The 21954-nt window shown below is 43.3% G+C and overlaps 1 annotated feature.

Annotated features, from left to right (window-relative positions):
* Nucleotides 1186-1686: an enhancer, noted in NCBI's record as "H3K4me1 hESC enhancer chr3:194601129-194601629 (GRCh37/hg19 assembly coordinates)". NCBI's record gives its function as "activates a minimal SCP1, AML or CMV promoter by ChIP-STARR-seq in primed H9 embryonic stem cells {active_cell/tissue: H9 hESC(primed)}" and the evidence as "EXISTENCE:reporter gene assay evidence [ECO:0000049][PMID:30033119]".

Here is a 21954-nt window from a genome sequence, read left to right on the forward strand (position 1 = left end):
GACACCACTTGTGTTTTAGACCCAGATTTGCCTTCTGTAGCCATGGGACCTGGGACAAGTCACTATGTCTCCATATCTTCACCTCTTAAGGAGATAACACAGCTGCCTGCCAGGGAAGTGAGGTCATTTTAAACTATATAGTGGTACATACATGTGAGGGGTTACTGTAATTCCTGTTGGTTTTAGAAAGAGGTGGGGTTGATAGGCATGCACGGACAGACTGATAAGCCTTTCGCAGGTTCACCAATGTTTCATGAGCTAAAAAATACTGTGATCTGCACAATTGTGTAGGTAGGTACTATTATTATTCACAATTTACAGATGACAAAAAGAGAGGAATCAAAAAGTTGAGCAAACTGCCTAACTTGCAACACAGTTATGAATAGAGGAGCTAGAATCTGAAACCTGGCAGTTGGGGGCAGGGCCTGCGTTAGTAAACATGGCTTGTGCTTACACACATCCATGCGCGTGCACACACACACACACACACACACACACGCACACGCGCGCACACACACTTCCCTTTTCCATCCCAAACGTACCACTCAGAGTCTAGTTGAATTTTGTAGTTTCAATTCTGACTTTGTTTCTTTGAAGCCCAATTGCCCTGATGCTGTTGACGGTTGACCTCCAATGAGTGGGAGGGTCACAGACACCTTTATTTTCATTTCACAGTCTTCTGCATTATTTTGATTTCTGCCCATGAGCATGCATTATATTTATAAAGATTAATTTTAAAACACATTGCCCCTCATGGGGAGGACTGTGTTTCAAAACAAAGGTTTTAAAGTTTAATGAACGTCTAAAAATCCTTTGCCATCACAGGTTTTCAGAGTCTTATTTATCAAATGCCCTGGCTGCTGGGGATCTTTCCAACTCATGCTGGAATCGGGCCTGGGTTTCCTGATTTCCCCAGCTCCAACGCTCAGCCTCAGCAGCCAAACCAGCCCGGCCCCTTCCTGTGGTTTCCAGCTCAGCCCTTCTGGTGGGAGGGAGGAGGAGAAGAGAGGATGCCCGTGTTGGGCCCTTCCCATGGGGCCCCAGTGTTTCGTGAAAACAGGGTCATGTCAATCACAGTCCAGACCTCTAAAACCTAGTAATGGAGGCTCAAGGCAGGTGAAAACATACAGGGTGATCAGAATCAAGGCAAGGAGGACTCAGGAAAGGGGACGGCACTCAGGCCAGGAGAGGGCTAAGCCCACTGGGCAGAGTTCCTGCCAGTTGGAACAGGATGGACTCCTAAAGCTCTGGCCTGGCCTCACCAGTGCTGTCTTTTCTACTTTTCTTCTGGGGTCCAGGGGCATCCAAGAGCAAGATTCCACCAGGGCAATGGACCCAGGAGGGGCTCAGGGGCCTGCCCCTGCCTGGCCTGAAACTTGGCACACACTGGTCCCATCTGGCAGCCAGCTTTAATTACGTTTCTGGACAAACACACTCTCATGCATTGGGCATCAGAGTGGGGACACTGTCAGGCAGAAGGAGGAGAGAGAGGCAGGCTGGCTCACTCCTGTTATGTGTACCCACTTAGCAATGCCACTTTAATTTCTCAAAGACATTCCCTGACAGCTCCATGCTGCGCCCGGCACAGGGAGCCTAGACCTGCTAATAGACCAGCTTGGAGGCAGCTGGAGCCTGTCTGCCCAGCTTGCCGGGGGAGCATTAATTAACCAGCTGGCGGCTCTTCTGTCTCCAGAGACCTCAGTGCTGGGATGGTCTGGGGACAATGTGCGTAGTGTGCAGGATCATCCCCAGGGTCCCACCACAGACCAAAGAATCCCTCCAATACTGAGTGCCTGAGACCCCTGAGGAGCATTTGCTTTGCTACTTCCTCCTTGGCATACAGTCAGTCAGAGCCTTTGGCTTTCTTCTCTGGCCACCTTGAGGGCATTATCAGGGCTGGGCCCCACTACTGCTGCAGTAAATGTTTGCCCGGCTGGAAAATGCTCACTCATGTTAACGAGGAAGCAATGAATGAGAAGCCTTTCTTCTCCTTTATTAAAGGCCGTACAAGCACAAAGCAGACTCTGAAATGTTATCTGTTCACAAACCTCATATGGCTAAATATTTACTGAGAATGTGATTGGCATTCCCTCAAGCAGCACAGCCAGTGTCCATGGAGTGTCAGAAACAGAAGCGGCACCCAGGCAGGCCCGTGGGCAGGGAGGCCCACCTCCAGGGAGAGCAGGTGTCCCCAGCCTGGCTTTCCAATGGAACTGCAAGCTCCCTGGGTTCCTGGACTCTCCATTGCTCCATCCTAGATGTACCTCAGGGCACTCTTCCAGCTACACAACCAGTGTGGAGCCCCTGCCTCTGGCTACCCAAGACTCCTTGGGGCTCTCCAAACACACAGGCCTTTCTCCTGATTTGGGGTGGTTTTGATTGCCCCAACTGGCACGCCCTTTCTGAAATGCCCCTTTTGCAGCATGAGGCACCCTTCTAGGTCAAGGATGGTGCGGGCTTCATCTGGGGTGCCGACTGGGATTGATTTGTGGGCACTGCCGGGAGCTTTGTGATGACCACATCCAAGCTGTGACATGACTTCTCAGGGATGTGTGCTAGGGTTGTGGGGATGTTGAGGTATATGTTTCACAGGTTTGTCATGAGTCTAGTCGCTTGTGAAGGCCATCTCCTCCAGGAAACTCTCAAGACTCCCACCGCCAAAGTACTTAATAACTGTGTTCTTGTCCTCCCTGCATTCCCTTGGAACCTAAGTCATTTGTCATTTTCTGTCTTCTATTACAACTATTTGAATCGCTTACCCCCCTTGCCATGCTAGCCTCCAGGTTCTTAGGGTAGCAACTGTGTCTCACTCATCTCTGTGTCCTCCTCAACATGTATCTTTCCTTGCTTGGAGTCAGAGCTCACTTAAGGCGGCTGAATTGAATTTCTTACCTGGGGACAGCTAGCTTAGAGTAGACTTCAAATTTAGTACAGTCCTCATGAGAGGGGTATTTTGGAAGGGAGCAGGTTGATTCTGCATTCCTGCTCTGGGGAAGGCGCTGCCTCAGGGCAGGACTGAGCAGTACGATGGGCACAGGGCAACTGGATGGGTTAGGAATGTGGGTGATAGTGGTTGCCAGATAAAATACGGACACCCAGTCAAGTTGAATGTCATTGTCTTCCAAGTATTGCGTGGAACATACTTACGCTAAAAAAATTTATTCATTGTTTTTCTGAAATTCACATTTAACTGGACGTCCTGTATTTTTATTTGTTAAATCTGGTAACTCTAGGTGGGAGTGCCAGGGAGAGAACACAAGATCATCTCCACAGACTTTCTAGAACCAATTCTGTACACTAAGCTGTGTCTTCATGGAGAAACAGCCTGGGGAGTAGGAGGGGTGCAAGACCAGCCAAGCTGGCTCCATTTCATAGCTGTCCATACTTTCAAGTCGCCTGAACTTTCAGACGAGGCTCTCTGATGGGCCTGGCTATCTGTGAAAGCCAACTCCAGTGAAGTCCAGAAATAAAACTAGGAAGCCTCCCAAAAGGTATTTTAGTGTGGTCAGCTGTAAACTTCATTAGGTAAGGACCAAGGTTGTCTCACTCATCATTTGCTCCTCAGTGGCTTGCATAGTCTTTGGCATAAAGCAGGTGCTCCAAAAATATTTACTAAATAAATAAAGAGCTGAGCACTACCTGGCCTTCTCCACCCATGGCTGGACTTACCTCACCCACAGCGATAAAAATGTGCAAAAACGGGAATTGGCACGCAGCCCTTCCTTTCCAGGAGTCATCACTGATTTCCATTAGCCAGCAAAGTGCACAAGTGCGTTAGGCTGATTTGGATTTAAAATCAATTAATGCATCCTCAGGGAGCTTGGCTACTATAAAAGCAAGATAAAACTGCATCTTCTTGAGTTAATTTATTTCAATTTAAAGGGTAATTAATATGTTTTCATTGATATGAATTTAGAAAATAAGGAAAAGTAGCATGAAGGGAGAGAAGCTTGTGCAGCCTCAAGACCTCAGGCAGACACGGTAGCACCTGAGTTCTACCTGGGTTTTGTACACCTGACTTTTCTCATCCTTCTCCACCCAGAGTCACTGGACATCTTTCTTTTCTCCAGTTTTATCTTTTTTCTCCTTGCCAAAACCTCCTGTGCAGGATGTAGTCTGATCCTGGATTTTGAAGTTTGACCAGAAGTAGATGGCCGTCATCCAGAAGAGCCCAGCAGCCAGAGGAGCCATTGACAGGGGGCAGCAGCAACAGGTAAATATAATGAAGGCCTGGCTAGGGGTGGCAGAGAGCAACAGAGGTGACATCATGGGGCAGGATTAGTGGATCTCAGTGACAGTGGTGTGTGAACCGGAAAGGAACAGTCAAGAAGGACCCCAGCTTCCTGACCCAGTGGCTAGAGGAAGGGTGAGGGTACCAGCCAGGACTCAGTTGCAAACAATAGAAACTGACTCTGGATCTCTAAGGAGGAAAAGAATGTATTAGAAGTATTTTCATTAGAGCTCACTGAATCAGTGGCAAGGCTAGAGACCCAAACTCAGAAAATAGGTAGGAACCAAGAGGGGTTGGGACCAGGGTCATGCCACAAGAACAGCCTGGTCAGGTCACAGACAAAACATCCCCACCATTGGACACTTTCTTCACCTGCCCACCTCCACTGCTGCTGTGAATGACCTCCAGACTTCATGTCACTCTCAAGAACGAAAATCCCATTCATATGGTCTGAATGCCCATGCCTACGTCATGTGCACATGCCCCATTTGCTAGGGGTCAGGAGTAGGAATGTCTGATCTCCTTCAGATTCACACACATTCTTCCAAATGGGAAAAGGGTTCGCATAATAGGAAGAAAAAAAAGACAGCAAGTGATCTCTATGGTGGCATTAAAGTTGGGTGTACAGGAAGAAGAGCAAATTTGCATGGGGTATGACAATGAAGTATCTTGGTGGAGCTGTGGAGAGATATTGACATTGGAAATGTCGATCTAGAGGTGTCACCTCTTCAAAGAGGTGACAAGCCATTTGTATAACACCCTTCCCTAGGTTACTATGGCTTCTCCAGCCATCCTTGCATTCCATCATCTTCAAACTCTGATGTCTTATGAGAAGTTCAGGGTATGAAGGCAAGGGCCCTGCAGGGGATAAAGGTTTGGCTGGCTTCTCCTTTCTCAGAAATCCCAATTCCTGGTCTTAGTTTCCAATAATTAAAAATGACTAGCAAATACGAGAAGTTTAGCTGGCTAGCGTAAGGACTTAAGGGCTGTTTTCAGTACAGCTTATTTATGGGGGAAAATCCTTGGAAGAATCACCCCTTTTCTTAGGGTTTCAGGTTCTACTCATGCTGCAGGGGCAGAAATACCTCCAGGGTAGTGCAGGGGCTTTGCAATGTTCAGAACCACAGAACCTCTGAGCTGCAATGAGACATAGGGATCACACAGTCCAATCCCCTCAGTTGATACACAAGGGCCCCAAGGCTAAGAAGATCATTAAAACTGCAGCATCCTTTCACATTCTCTGATCATGAAAAAATGACACCACCTTTCACCCACACCTCAGCCCCATCCTGCCAACACTGCCACCCAGCTGAGAGGAAGGGAGGCAGTGAATAGGATGCAGCTGGGTGGATCACCTCCTCTTCCCCTGGAGGCAGTGACGTCTGTCACTCCTAGGAGATGATTAAAATGTTGCTGCTATTGTTAAATTTTGGCAAGTAGATTCTGAATTATTCTCCCGGGGGGCTGGCCATGAGTCACCACAGTACATCCTCAGGAAGGAGCTGGCTGAACTCCTGAAATGGCCAGATCCTGCAGTGAACTGAGGACCCAGCAGTGTCACAGCACTGCAAATGGGCTGTGAACTGGAGGCTCTGGTGGCTGCCACCATCAGGAGTGGCGGGACTTGACATAGAGGAGAGACCAGAAACCCACCTCTGGTGTTGGCATCACTGATCATGCAGTTCATACAGGACAATCGCCTATGGGAAGACCCGCTGTGATGGAGGAAGAGTGGAGGAAAGGCCAGCCAGTGCCCTGCACAGAGAAGCTAGTCAAGAAAGGCTCGCCTCTGCCAGTCAACATAGCAAGACCTTATCTGTACAGAAAATGGAAATGTTAGCTGGGCATGGTGGTGGAGGATGCCTGTAGTCCTAGCTACTTGGAGGCTGAAGTAGGAGGATCACTTGAGCCCAGGAGTTTTAGGCTGCAGTAAGCAATGATCATGTCACTGCACCACAGCCGGGGCAGCAGAGAGAGACTCCACCTCTAAAGAAAATAAATTAATAAAAATAAAATAAATAAAGACATGCCTCCTCTTTTTCTTCTTATAGGAGGTGGGCCTCAGGCAGGACCTTGAAGCTGACTACGTCTCCTTTCTTTCTCCCATAGGCAGAAACAGGGAACTGTCTGGGGGAAGGGATGTTGATAGGTACTGGGACTCCAGGAGAGTCCAATCCTGCATTTTTAGTGATTAACCTACATGCTGTGGATAGCTGCACAAGAGGGACATTCACCAAAAGTGAAAGGAAGCAGGAACACAGCAATCCCAGGTTACATGAAGGAGGTGAATGGCTCTATGACATGGAAAGAGAGTCCTGGGTGAGTAAATGAAGAAATGAAGAAATGAATGAATACTGCTATGTCCACAGTACCTATTGGCTGTGTTATACTCTGGGATGAAAAAGCACTGAGACTGTGCCCATGGTCTCCCCTTCCCTTCCTCCACCTCTCTACACGTCCAAGACCCCATCCTTCCATGTGGCACAAATGTCTTGCCTGGCCAGACACAGTGGCTCACACCTGTAGTCCCAGCACTTTGGGAGGCCGAGGTGGAGGTGGGTGGATTGCTTGAGCCCAGGAGTTCAAGACCAGACTGGGCAACATGGTGAAATCCTGTCTCTACAAAAAACACAAAAATTAACCATGCATGGTGGCACATGCCTGCAGTCCCAGTGTGTTAGTCCATTCTCAGGCTGCTAATAAAGACATACCCAAGACCAGGCAACTTACAAAGAAAAAGAGGTTTAATGGACTTGCAGTTACACATGGCAGGAGAGGTCTCACAATCATAGCAGAAGGTGAAGGAGAGGCAAAAACACATCCCACATGGAGGCAGGTGAGAGAGTATGTGCATGGGAACTGCCCTTTATAAAACCATCAGATCTAATGGGACTTACACCCTACCGTAAGAACTGTATGGGGGAAACCGTCGCTATGATTCAATTGTCTCCACCTGGCCCTGCCCTTGACATTTGGAGATTATTACAATTCAAGGTGAGATTTGGGTGGGGACACAGAGCCAAACCATGTCTTTCCACCCCGGCCCCTCCCAAATCTCACTTCCTCACATTTCAAAACCAATCATGCCTTCCCAACAATCACCAAAATCTTAACCCATTTCAGCATTAACTCAAAAGTCCACAGTCCAAAGTTTCTTCTGAGACAAGGGAAGCTCTTGCCACCTATGAGCCTATAAAATAAAAGCAACTTAATTACCTCCTAGATACAGTGGGGGTATGGGCATTGGATAAATACACCTGTTCCAAATGGAAGAAATTGGCCAAAATGAAGAGGTTAGAGGCCCCATGCAGGTCCAGAATCCAGCAGAGCAGTCAAATCTTAAAGCTCCAAAATGATCTCCTTTGACTCCATGTCTCATATTCAGGTCATGCTGATGAAAGAGGTGGGTTCCTATTGTGTTGAGCAGCCTCCCTCCTGGCTGCTTTCATAGGCCAGAATTGAGAGTCTGTGGCTTTTCCAGGTGCACAGTGCAAGCTGTCAGTGGATCTATGCTTCTGGGGTCTGGAGGACAGTGGCCCTCTTCTCACGGGTCCAGTAGACAGTGCCCCAGTGGGTCTGTGTGGGGTCTCCCACCCCATATTTCCCTTCCTCACTGCCCTACCAGAGGTTCTCCATGAGGCCTCCACCCCTCCAGCACACATCTCTCTGGACATCCATGTGTTTCCATACATCCTCTGAAATCTAGCTGGAGGTTCCTAAAACTCAATTCTTGACTTCTATGCACCTTCGGACAAAACATAGGTAAGCTGCCAAGGCTTGGGGCTTGCACCCTCTGAAGCAAAGGCCTGAGCTATACCTTGGCCCCTTTCAGCCATGGCTGGGATGCAGGGCACAAGTTCCAAGACTGCACAAAGCAGCAGGGCCCTGGACCCAGCCCACAATACCATTTTTTTCCTCCTAGGCCTCTGGCTTGTGATGGGAGGGCCTGACATGGAGACCTCTGACATGCCCTGGAGACATTTTCCCCATTGTCTTTGCAATTAACATTTGGCTCCTTGTTACTTATGCAAATTTCTGCAGTCAGCTTGAATTTCTCAGAAAATGGGTTTTTCTTTTCTATGGCATCATCAGGCTGCAAACTTTCCAAACTTTTATGCACTGCTTCCCCTTTAAACATAAGTTCCAATTCCAAACCATGTATTTGTGAATGAATAAAACTGAATGTTTTTAAAAGCACCCAAGTCACTTCTTGAATGCTTTGCTGCTAAGCAATTTCTTCCACCAGATACCCTAAATCATCTCTCTCCAGTTCAAAGTTCCACAGATCTCTAGGGCAGGGGCAAAATGCCACCAGTCTCTTTGCTAAAGTGTAGCAAGAATCACCTTTGCTTCGGTTCCCAATAAATTCCTCATCTCCATCTGAGACCACCTCAGCCTGGACTACATTGTCCATACCAATATCAGCAGTTTGATCAAAGCCATTCAACGAGTCTCTAGGAAGTTCCAAACTTTCCCACATCTTCCTGTCTTCCAAGCCCTCCAAACTGTTACAACTTCTGCCTGTTACCCGGTTCCAAAGTCACTTCCACATTTTTGGGTATCTTTACAGCAGCACCCCACTACCTGGTACCAATTTACTGTATTAGTCTGTTCTCATGCTGCTAATAAAGACATACCTAAGACTTGGCAACTTACAAAGAAAAAGAGGTTTAATGGACTCACAGTTACACATGGCTGGGGAGGCCTCACAATCATGGCAGAGGGCGAAGGAGGAACAAAGCCACGTCCTACATTGCAGCAGGCAAGAGAGTGTGTGCAGGGGAACTACCCTTTATAAAACCATCAGATCTTGTGAGACTTATTCACTCTCACAAGAGCAGCACAAGCAAAACCAGCCCCCATGATTCAGTTATCTCCCACCAGGTCCAACAATATGTGGGGATTGTGGGAGCTGTAATTCAAGATGAGATTTGGGTGGGGACACAACAAAATCATATCACCTAGCTACTTGGGAGGCTGAGACAGGAGGATCACCTGAGCCCAGGAAGTCGAGGCTGCGGCGAGCCACGATTACATCACTGCACTCCAGCCTGGGTGAAGGAGTGAGAACCAGTCACAAAAAAAAGAAAGAAAGAAAGAAAGAAAGAAAGAAAGAAAGAAAGAAAGAAAGAAAGAAAGAAAGAAAAGCCATGCCCTCTACTAGGAAGCCTTTTCTGATTCACCAACTCAGAAATTCTTTTTCCTCTGTCCTCCCAAGGGCCTTACCTCCACTCACACAAGGCCCTTATTTCTAGGCTGAATGATGGTTATTGACGTGTGTCTCACCTCCCTGTGCCCTCCCAGTGCTCAGGGCCTAAAGAACCCCTTGCAGAGCGTGCTAAGGATGTCTTACTCTCCAAGGACTCCCAAACCCTTTCCACAACTCCTAATATTAAGAAAAGACCTGTTTTCCCCTGACCTCCTTTGTCTAGGATTGTTTGAGTGACTTTGGTAACAACAGACCTTTGAATAGAAATGAAATAGAGATATGTTTCTTGGACAAGCGGAGGTGGCCTCAGAAAGGGAAAGGGTCCTGGGCTGGAAATCATGTCTTCCAGCAGAGGAAGAACAAACAGATCCAAGCTGAAGTAAATGAAAACCCATCTCAGGGCTCAGGACAAGGCCTAGGGGCCAGGAGGAGATGACCATGGTGGATGCTTTGGAGGATGAGAAAAGTAGGGAGGAAGAAGCCTCCAGGTGCAGGGGAAGAGAGGGGGATGCGTAGAGTGGGACTTGAGAGCCAGCTTCCCTGTGTGGCTCTCCTTGACTTAACCAGTGGTGTGCCTGTGCCCTGATACTAATCGAGAAGTGGACTTCCACAGGATGCTCCCTGGAGTGCTCAATAAATGTTGATAGAATAACCCTGATAAGAACAACAGGCAATTTTTTTTCGAGTACTTGTAATGTACCAGACGCTGTTCTAGTTCTTCCTCTTTTTTTTTTTTAAATGTATCTCTTCATTAAATCTTCTCATCAACCTGCGAGGTATTTAGTATTATCAACCTCATTTTACAGATCATGAATTGGAGGCACAGAAATATTAATTAACTTATCTGCAGCCACGCAGCTAGTGAATCATAAAGCTGGCACTTAACCACTGTGCAATAGGGCAAGGGTTTAATACTAAAGCATGTGCTCACCTAATTTCGCCCCAACTTATTTCACTCCTGCTCCAGATATATTCTAAGAGATGAAAAAATTTCTCTTTTAGGGAATAATTAATAGCCTTGAAGCTCAAGTAATAATTTTTGTAGTAATCTGCAGAAAAAGCCCTCTTCAAAGAAGCAATTAAAATAATATTCCAATTACCTGTGAAGGTTTACTTCAGTGCAATTCAATTTTTACTGTATTTTGTATCTACTAGAACTCAAACAAATTGAGGGGAAAACAGACTTTTGTTTGAATGAAAGGGAGGCTCAGAACAATGAAAAAAAAAGCTGATTTAAAAAGTAACCTTCAGGCCCACCTGAGTGCATGCAACAGGTTTATTCATATCTACACAGATATTGAACTCATTCTTCTTGAACCCATTTCCGTGATTTGAACAGACTATAAATCAACAGCTCTGCATAATTTTTGAAAAATAAGTGCTTTCCTGCCTAAGAATGTGGCTTGTATATTGGCAGTGTATGGAGTTAGGATGCTTTCAGCTGCAAATAATAGAAGACCCGTGACTCAAATTGGTTTCAGGATAAGAACACGTATCATTTCCCATAGCTGGAAGTCCAGAGGAGGTGAAAGCCCAAGCTTGAATCAATCAGCAACTCAATAAAGTCATCAAGGGCTGTTTTTTTCCCACTCTGCTGTCCTCCGTTTTCTCTGAGTCCTCAGGCTGTCTGCCAGATGTCTGTGGCAGCCCCAGGTGTAGCATCCAGAAACAACACCCAGAGGAATGACAGACGCTGTCTATTTTCTGTGTCTTTTTTTTAGAAGCAAGAAAACCTCTTCCAGAAGACTCCCAGCAGGCCGGGGGTGGTGGCTCATGCCTGTAATCCTAGCACTTCGGGAGGCAGAGGAGGGTGGATCACGAGGTCAGGAGTTCAAGACCAGCCTGGGCAAGATGGTGAAACCCCGTCTCTACTAAAAATAGAAAAATTAGCCAGGCGTGGTGGCGGGCACCTGTAATCCCAGCTACTCAGGGGGCTGAGGCAGAGAATTACTTGAACCTGGGAGGCAGAGGTTGCAGTGAGCCGAGACTGTGCCATTGCACTCCAGCCTGGGCGATAGAGTGTGACTCTGTCTCAAAAAAAAAAAAAAAAAAAGACTCCCAACAGACTTCTGGTCAATACCTTTGTTGAACCTGGGTCATTTGCTTGTTCCTAAAGCAATCACTGGCTTAGGCCACCACTGTTGAAGAGCCAGCCACTCTGACCACCGGAGAGACACTAGCCATTTCCAAGTTGTATTTTTGAAACCAATGCCATTTCTTTGTCCAGATATCAAACATTTAATAATCCACGGAAATAAAAATCTTTAATAAGATAAGAACCTGAAATTTCATACTAAGAGTAGGTAGGCAGTTTCTCCTAACAATGAATTGTCCCTATGGCCAAATTTTTTTTTTTTTTTGAGACCGAGTCTTGCTCTGTCTCTCAGGCTGGAGTGCAATGGCGTGATTTCATCTCATTGCAACCTCCACCTCCTGGGTTTAAGCGATTCTCTGGCCTCAGCCTCCTGAATAGTTGGGATTACAGGCGCGTGCCACCACGCCCAGCTAATTTTTTGTGTTTTCAGTAGAGATGGCGTTTTACTGTGCTAGCCAGGTTGGTCTCACTCTCCTGACCTCATGATCCGCCCTCCTCAATCTCCCAAAGTTCTGGGATTACAGGCATGAGCCACCGCGCCCGGCCCAAATATTATTTTTAATGAGACAGAGCAGCTTGCTATTTAGAAGAGCTGTTTGGTGGAACATTTTTTCATTAAAAAATGATGAGAGCTTCATGTTAAAATGATGTTTTGAATGTACGCCTTAATCTCTCTATCTCTAAATGTCACTTAAGAAGTAATGAGAAATTGGCCAGGCGCAGTGGCTCATGCCTGTAACCCCATAACTTTGGGAGGCCAAGGTGGGTGAATTGCTTGATTCCAGGAGTTTGAGACCAGCCTGGGCAACAGGAAGAAACCCTGTCTCTACAAAAAATACAAAAATTTAGCTGGGCCCTGTGGCGCTTGTAGTCCCAGCTACTCAGGAGGCAGAAGTGGGAGGATCGCTTGAGCTGGGGAGATTGAAGCTGCAATGGACTGTAATCACACTACCACACTCCAGACCTGGGCGACAGAGACCTTGTCTCAAAAAAAAAAAAAAAGTAGAAATTAAACAAAATGCATAATGCCATAATGACAGAGAGTGAGAAAGCAGTCAACAACAAAATTTCAGAAGCCGGAAACCAGAGGGAAGAGTATCTGACTTAGAAGGCCTGAGGAAGCTGAATTCTAAGTCATCAGGAAAGCCAAGAAATATCCTGATTTTATATTGAAGATCTCTATAAAGTCTCAAGAATTGGTAGCACTAGGTACCTCTGGAAGCGTAGGTGGAGGGCTAAACTGTTGGTTAAATGTCTGTATAGGAAATAATTGGACCTCTGATTCCTTCCCCTACTCTACATAGTGGGTGCTGCCCTCTGAAAAAGACTAGAGGCGGGTTCTCACCAGAATAAAAAGAGGGTCAGCATTAAAGGAACACGGGAAATCCAGGGCAGGTGTATCATCCAGCACATAGGGCAACTAAGTGAAAGCTCACAAATGATAGGTTGAAATCACCAATTTTTTTTGCCCATCCAGCATCCTGAATACTTGAAACCAGGTTATATCCTTCAGGTATGAGATGAAAGACTAGTCTCTGGGTCAGCTGAACAGCCCGAGAGAGAAGATAAAAGGATATTGATATTAGAGGTCCCCAGCCAGATCATCCTGCAGTGAAAACCAGTTGAAAAGGCCTCCTGCTTCCTGAACTTCAAGTCAGTTGTTAAGGCCTCTCTCTCTCTAAGAGACAGGGTCTCTCACTTTGTCACCCAGTCTGGAGTGCAGTGGCACAATCGTGGCTCACTACAGCCTTGACCTCCCAGGCTCAAGCAATCCTCCTACCTCAGCCTCCTGTGTAGCTGTGACTACAGGCACATGCCACCATGTCCAGCTAATTTTTTTTGTTTTAATTTTTGTAGAGACAAGTTCTTGTTAGGTTGCCCAGGCTGGGCTTAAACTCTTGGTCTCAAGTCATCCTCTCACTTTGGCCTTCCAAAGTCTTGGGGTTACAGGCGTGAGCCATCGTGCCTGGTCAAGGCTGCTCTTTTAAACATATACAGACAGCAAAAGATCACCAGGTATTGGTGGAAAGTCTCTAATGTCAAACAGTCCATAACAAACAAACAGAAAGGAAAAAGTAACTTGGATGCAAGAGACCGTACATGGAGAATAAAGCCTTTTTCTAAAAAACCTGAAATAATCATTAATAGCCTCACAGAGACAAAATATTACATCTATGAAATAGAGATAGGATACTATAAAAAGAGTGAAAGCCTTCATAAATTAAAAACATGAAAGCATAAATGAAAAACTCAATAGAAGGATTAGAAAACTAAGATGGAGAAATCTTCCAGAAAGTAGAACAAAAAAGCAAAGGGATAGAAAATAGGGAAGAAAATATTTTTCAAAAAATAGAGGACAAGTTGTGGAAATCTAATATCCAAACAATAGGAGTTCCAGAAAGAAAATGGAGGAGAAGAAATCATAGAAGGAATAGTTTAAGAAATTTTCTTTGAATTCAAAGATATACATTTCTAGACCAAAAGTGTCTACTAAATGCCCAGTACAATGAACAAAACTGGATTCATGCCAGGCACATCATTGTGAAATTTCAGAATGATGGAAACGAGAAGGGCTAAGGGAAAGTTGCATCCTCAGTGTAGGCAGGTGCCACCGAGTCAGCGGGAGCCCAGATACAACAAGAAGGCAGAGAAAAGGTGAATTTTGCTTTCTCTTGGAGCTGGGACTCCCTTCCTCTGTTGGACATCAGAACTCCAGGTTCTCCAGCCTTTGGACTCCAGGACTTGTACCAGCAGCCCCCAGGTTCTCAGGCCTCTGGCCTAGGACTGAGAGTTACACCATCAGTTTCCCTGTCTCTGACATCTTTGGACTTGAACTGAGCCATGTTACTGGCCTCCCTGGTTCTCCAACTTAAAGACAGCAGCCTGTCATGAGACTTCTCAGCCTCTGTAGTCATATGAGCCAATTCTGCTAAAAAATCCCTATCTATCTATCTATCTATCTATCTATCTATCTATCTATCTATCATCTATCTATCTTATTGCTTCTATCTTTCTGGAGAACCCTGACTAATACAGAGAAAAACTGATTTCATTCAAAGAAACAGGAATCAGAATCAGAATGCGTTGAGTTTCACAATGACTAAGTTGGAAACAACATGACAATGGCACAGTGCTTTCAAAATTGAGAGATGATATTTTTCCACCTAAAATTCCACATCAATTAAGTATGAGAATAAACTAAAAACTTCTTCAGTTGTGTCAGGACAGGAACAAAAATTTACTTACTATGCGCTCTTTCTTTTTTTTTTTTTTTTTTTTTTGAGACGGAGTCTCGCTCTGTCGCCCAGGCTGGAGTGCAGTGGCGGGATCTCGGCTCACTGCAAGCTCTGCCTCCCAGGTTCACGCCATTCTCCTGCCTCAGCCTCCCAAGTAGCTGGGACTACAGGCGCCCGCCACTACGCCCGGCTAATTTTTTGTATTTTTAGTAGAGACGGGGTTTCACCGTTTTAGCCGGGATGGTCTCGATCTCCTGACCTCGTGATCCGCCCGCCTCAGCCTCCCAAAGTGCTGGGATTACAGGCGTGAGCCACCGCGCCCGGCCTATGCGCTCTTTCTTAGAAAAGGAGAGAAAGAACTTGTTTCACCAAAATGATTGAGAAAGCTGAGAAAGAAAAGAATATGGGATTCAAAACAGAGGAAATCTGAATCTAGAAAGAGGTGAAAGAACTCCCAGATTGGATCAGATCTATGAGCGGCTTCTTTAAGAAAATTAAATTGACAGAATTCTTAGTGTGCTTGAACATATTAAGAGAAAATGTACACATTCAAGAGAGTTTAAATTGGTGTTTAGTACATAGAAACCTTAGCAAATGGGAAAAAAGAAGGCAATTATTAACTCCAGGGTAAACAAAAAGTTGTGAGGAGAAAGAAAAGGAATTGTAGTACTCATCATGGCTCACCTATAAATAGCATTTACAAAGTCAATATAAAGTAAATAATGAATATGGATCTAATCCAAACTACTATATACTATATCAGGAGGGCAGGAAACCAGGAAATGTATCTTCATGGATGTGTGCCTATATGATGGTGTTAAAGGAACAGAGAAATGTGCTAGAGCCTCACCTTCCACAGTGGGGAGTCAGTAGATGATGCCTGAGCTGCAAAATCAATAAATAACAATATAAGCATCTGTGAAAGGAATTACCAAAGGAATCAGTTGAAAGATTTGAAAATAGTTGCCTTAGGCTAGTGAGAAATAGGGTAGGGGTGGGAACTGCTTTTCTCAATGGCAAGCAGAGCTATTTGACTCTTTTTTTAAAAAATGCATCTAACTTTTTAAATATTTAAAATTATGCTTTATGATTTCAATAGTTTTTGGGGAGCAGGTGGTGTTTGGTTACATGGACAAGTCCTTCAGTGGTGATTTCTGAGATTTTGGTGTACCCATCACCCCAGCAGTGTACACTGCACACAATGTGTAGTCTTTTATCTCTCACTGACTTCCTACCCTTCCCCCCAAGTCCCCAGAGTTCATTATATCGTTCTTATGCCTTTGTGTCCTCATAGCTTAGCTCCCATTTGTAAGTGAGAATATACAGTGTTTGGTTTTCCATTCCCAAGTTACTTCACTTAGAACAATAATCTCCAACTCCATCCAGATTGCTATGAATCCCATTATTTCATTCATTTTTATGGCTGAGTAGTATTTCATATCCAATGGTATGTGTGTGTGTATATATGTATATATATGTGTGTGTGTGTATATATACGTACATATGTGTGTGTGTATATATGTGTGTGCATATATATGTATATATATCCCTCACAGTTTCTTAATCCACTCTTTGGTTGACAGGCATTTAGGCTGGTTTCATATTTTTGCAATTGCAAATTGTGTTGCTATAAATATGCATGTGCAAGTTTCCTTTTTATAAAATGACTTATTTTCCTCTGGATAGATACCCAGTAGTGGGACTGTGGGATCAAATGGTAGTTCTGCTTTTAGTTCTTTAAGGAATCTCTATACTGTTTTCCATAATGACCGTACTAGTTTAAATTCCCACCAGCAATGTAATTGCTCCCTTTTCACCACATCCATGCCAACATCTATTATTTTTTGATTTTTTAATTATGGCCATTCTTGCAAGAGTAAGGTGGCATTGCATTGTGGTTTTGATTTGCATTTCCCTGATAATTAGTGATGTTGAGTATTTTTCATAGGTTTGCTGGTCATTTGTATATCTTCTTTAGAGAATTGTCTATTCATGCTCTTAGCCCACTTTTTGGTGGGATTATTTGTTTTTTTCTTGCTGATTTGTTTCAGTTCCTTGTAGATTCTATGTATTAGTCCTTTGTTGGATGCAGAGTTTGCGAAGATTTTCTCCCACTCTGTGGTTGTCTGTTAACTCTGCTGATTCTTTCTTTTGCTGTGCAGGAGATTTTTAGTTTAATTAAGTCCCATCTATTTATCTTTGTTTTTGTTGCATTTGCTTTTGGGTTCTTAGTCATGAACTCTTTGCCTAAGCTAATGACTAGAAGGGTGTTTACGATGTTATCGTCTAGAATTTGTATGGTTTCAGGTCTTAGATTTAAGTCTTTGATCCATCTTGAGTTGATTTTTGTATAATCTAGGAGATGAGGATCCAGTTTCATTCTTCTGCATGTGGCTTGCCAATTATCCCAGCACCATTTGTTGAATAGGGTGTCCTTTCCCCACTTTATGTTTTTGTTTGTTTTGTCAAAGATCAGTTGGCTGTAAGTATTTGGCTTTATTTCTGGGTTGTCTATTCTGTTCCATTGGTTTACATGCCTGTTTTTATACCAGCACCATCCTGTTTTGGTAACTATAACCTTGTAGTATAGTTTGAAGTTGGGTAACATGATGCATCTGGATTTCTTCTTTTTGCTTAGTCTTGCTTTGGCCATGCAGACTCTTTTTTTGTTTCATATGAGTTTTAGAATTGTTTTTTCTAGTTCTGCAAAGCATGATGGTGGTATTTTGATGGGAATTGCATTGAATTTATAGATTACTTTTGGCAGCATGGTCATTTTCACAATATTGATTCTACCCACTCATAAGCATGGGATGTGTTTCCATTTGTTTGTGTCATCTATGATTTCTTTCAGCAGTGTTTTGTAGTTTTCCATGTAGAGGTCTTTCACCTCCTTGGTTATGTATATTCCTAAGTATTTTATTTTATTTTTGCAGCTGTTGTAAAAGGGGTTGAGTTCTTGATTTGATTCTCAGCTTAGTCACTTTATAGCAGTGCTACTGATTTGTGTACACCGATTTTGTATCCTGAAGCTTTACTGAATTCATATATCAGATCTAGGAGCTTTTTGAATGAGTCTTTAGGGTGTTCTAGGTATATGATCATATCATCAGCAAACAGTGACAGTTTTACTTCCTCTTTACCAATTTGGATGCCCTTTATTTCTCTCTCTTGTCTGATAGCTCTGGCTAGGACTTCCAGTACTATATTGAATAGAAGTGATGAAAGTGGGCATCCTTGTCTTGTTCCAGTTCTCATGGGGAATGCTTTAAACTTTTCCCCGTTCAGTATAATGTTAGCTGTGGGTTTGTCAAAGATGGGTTTTATTACCTTAAGGTATGTCCCTTCTATGCTGAATTTGTTGAGAATTTTAATCATAAAGGGATGCTGGATTTTGTCAAATGCTTTTTCTACATCTATTGAGATGATTATATAATTTTTGTTTTTAATTCTGTTTATGTGGTGTATCACATTTATTGACTTGCGTATGTTAAACCAACTCTATATCCTTCATGTGAAACCCACTTGATCATGGTGGATTATCTTTTGTATATGCTGTTGGATCCAGTTATTTTGAATAACTGAATTCTAGTATTTTGTTGAGGATTTTTGCATCTATATTCATCAGGGGTATTGGTCTGTAGTTTTCTTTTTTTGTGTTATGTCCTTTCCTGGTTTTGGTATTAGGGTAATACTGGCTTCATAGAAGGACTTAGGGAGGACTCCCTCTTTCTCTATCTGTTGGAATAGTGTCAATATGATTGGTACCAATTCTTCTTTGAGTGTCTGACAGAATTTAGCTGTGAATCCATCTGTCCTGGACTTTTTTTGTTGGCAATTTTTTTTTATTACTGTTTTAATCTCACTACTCGTTATTGGTCTGTTCAGAGTTTCTATTTCTTCCTGATTTAATCTAGAAGGGTCGTATATTTCCGGGAATTATCCATCTCCTCTAGATTTTCTAGCTTATGTGCATAAAGATGTTCATAGTAGCCTTGAATGATCTTTTATATTTTTGTAGTATTGTTTGTAATATCTCCCATTTCATTTCTAACTGAGCTTATTTGGGTGATCTCTCTTCTTTTATTGGTTAATCTCACTAATGGTGTATTGGTTTTGTTTATCTTTTCAAAAAACCAGCTTTATCTTTCCAAAAACCAGCTTTTTGTTTCATTTATCTTTTGTATTGTTTTTGTTTGTTTGTTTCAATTTCATTCAGTTCTGCTCTGATCTTTGTTATTTCTTTTCTTCTGCTGGGTTTGGGTTTGGTTTGTTCTTGTTTCTCTAGTTCCTTAAAATGTGAGCTTAGATTGTCTATTTGTGCTCTTTCAGACTTTTTTGATGTGGACATTTAATGCTGTGAAGTTTCCTCTTAGTAGTGCTTTTGCTGTATCCCAGAGGTTTTGATAGGTTGTGCCACTATTATTGTTCAGTTCAAATAATTTTTTATTTTCCATTTTGATTTTATTGTGACCCAAAGATCATTCAGGAGCAGACTATTTAATTTCTATGTATTTGTATAGTTTTGAGGGTTCCTTTTGGAGTTAATTTCCAATTTTATTCCACTGTGGTCTGAGGGAGTATTGAATATAATTTCTATTTTTTCAAATTTATTGAGACGTTTTGTGGCCTATCATATGGTCTATCTTGGAGCATGTTCCATCTGCTGATGAAAAGAATGTATATTCTGCAGTTCTTGGGTGGAATGTTCTGTAAATATCTGTTAGGTTCATTTTATCTAGGGTATAGTCCATTGTTTCTTTGTTGACTTTCTGTCTTGATAATCTATCTAGTGCTGTCAGTGGAGTATTGAAGTCCCCTACTATTATTGTGTTGCCATCTATCTCATTTCTTAGGTCTAGTAGTAATCGTTTTATAAATTTGGAATCTCCAGTTTTATAAATTTAGGATTGTGATATTTTCCTGTTGGACCAATACTTTTATCATTATACAATGTCCCTTTTTGTCTTTTTGCTTTAAAGTCTGCTTTGTCTGATATTAGAATAGTGACTCCTGCTCTCTTTTGGTTTCCATTTGCATGGAATGTCTTTTTCCACCCCTTGATTAAGTTTCTGTGAGTCCTTATGTGTTCAGTGAGTCCCTTGAAGACAGCAGATACTTGGTTGGTGGAGTCTTACTTGCCATTCTGTATCTTTTAAATGGAGCATTCAGGCCATTTACATTCAATGTTTTTATTGAGATGTGAGGTACTGTTCTATTCATCATGCTAATTGTTGCCTAAATACCTTAGTTTTTTTTTTTCTATTGTGTTATTGTTTTATAGGCCCTGTGAGATTTATGCTTTAAGGAGGTTCCATTTTGGTGTATTTCAAGATTTTGTTTCAAAATTTAGAACTTCATTTAGCATTTCTTATGGTGCTAGCTTGGTAGTGGCAAATTCTCTCAACATTTATTTGCCTGAAAAAGACTTTATCTCTCCTTCATTTATGAAGCATAGTTTCCCTAGATACAGAATTCTTGGCTGACAATTATTTTGTTTAAGGAGGCTACAGATAGGACCCCCATCCCTTCTGGCTTGTAGGGTTCCTGCTGAGAAATCTGCTGTTAATCTGATAGGTTTTCATTTATAGGTTACCTGATGCTTTTGCCTCATGGCACTTAAGATTCTTTCCTTTGCCTTGACTTTAGATAATCTGATGACTACGTGCCTAGATGATGACATTTCATGATGAATTTCAGGGTGTTTTTTGAGCTTCTTGTATTTGGATGTCTATATCTCTAGCAAGACCAGGGAACTTTCATTTGATTACTCCCTCAAATAAGTTTTCCAAACTTTTAGATTTCTCTTCTTTCTCAGAATACCAATTACTCTTATGTTTGGTCATTTAACATAATCCTAAGTTTCTTGGAGGCTTTGTTCATTATTTCACTTCTTTTCCTTGTCTTTGTCAGATTGGGTTAATTACAAAGCCTTGTCTTTGAGCTCTTAAGTTCCTTCTTCTACTCATTCGAGTCTATTGTTGAAACTTTCTCGTGTATTTTGCATTTCTCTAAGTGTGTCTTTCATTTCCAGAGGTTGTAATTGTCTTTTCTTTATGATATCTATTTCTTTGGAGACTTTTTCGTCAATATTCTGTATTTTTAAAAAATTTATTTATGTTGGTTTTCGCCTTTCTCTGGTTCCTCCTTGAATAGCTTAATAATCAACCTTCTGAATTCTTTATCTGGCAATTCAGAGATTTCTTCTTGGTTTGGATCCATTGCTGGAGAGCTAGGATGATCTTCTGGAGGTGTTATAGAACCCTGTTTTGTCATATTACCAGAATTACTTTTTTGGTCTCTTCTTATTCATTTGGGTAGACTGTTTCAGTCAAAAGATCTGAAACTCAAGTTCTGCTGTTCAGATTCTTTTGTCCCACAGGGTGATTCCTTGATGTGGTGCTCTCCCCCTTTCCCTAGAAACGGGGCTTCCTAAAAGCCAGATTGCAGTGATCGTTATTGCCCTTCTGGGTCAAGCCACCCAACAGGGCTACTGGGCTCCAGGCTGGTGCTGGTGAATGTCTGCAAAGAGTCCTGTGATGTGATCCATCTTCAGGTCTCCCAGCTGTGCATACCAGCATCTACTCTGGTGGAGGTGGCAGAGGAGTGAGGTGGACTCTGGGAGTACTTGGTTGTAGTTTTTTTAGTGCACTGGTTTTCTTGAATGTGGTTATGCTTGCAGTGAAGTTGTCACATTGACAGACTCAGGACCTCTGGTTGGCTAGGGTGTTGCAGGCAGTGGAATTAGCTATTGTTATCTCCATTTTTGGAGGAGGGTGGTTCTGTTATGAGTTGCTGTAATGTCTTGAGTTGGCTGGCCTCCAGCCAGGAGATGGCACTTTCAAGAGATCATCGGGTGCTGTAGTAGAAGGGGGATTTAGGCTAGCCCCACATTGGCCAGGATAAGTACTTGGATCTCTTAGGCAGTGGGAGGGGCCATAGAGCTCCCAAGAGTTTACGTCTTTTGTCTTCAGTTACCAGGGCAAGTAGAGAAAAATCATCAGATGGGGGCAGGGTTAGATAAGTCTGAGCTCAGACTCTCCTTGAGCAGGGCTTGCTGCAGCCGGGGGATTGGGAGTGGTTCTCAGGCCAATGGAGTTATGTTCCCAGGGGGATTATGGCTGCCTCTGCTGCATCATACAGGTCACCAGTGAAGCAAGGGAAAGCTGGCAGTGACAGGCCT

Source organism: Homo sapiens, chromosome 3, assembly GCF_000001405.40.
Source record: "Homo sapiens chromosome 3, GRCh38.p14 Primary Assembly".
Classification (NCBI taxonomy): Eukaryota; Metazoa; Chordata; class Mammalia; order Primates; family Hominidae; genus Homo; species Homo sapiens.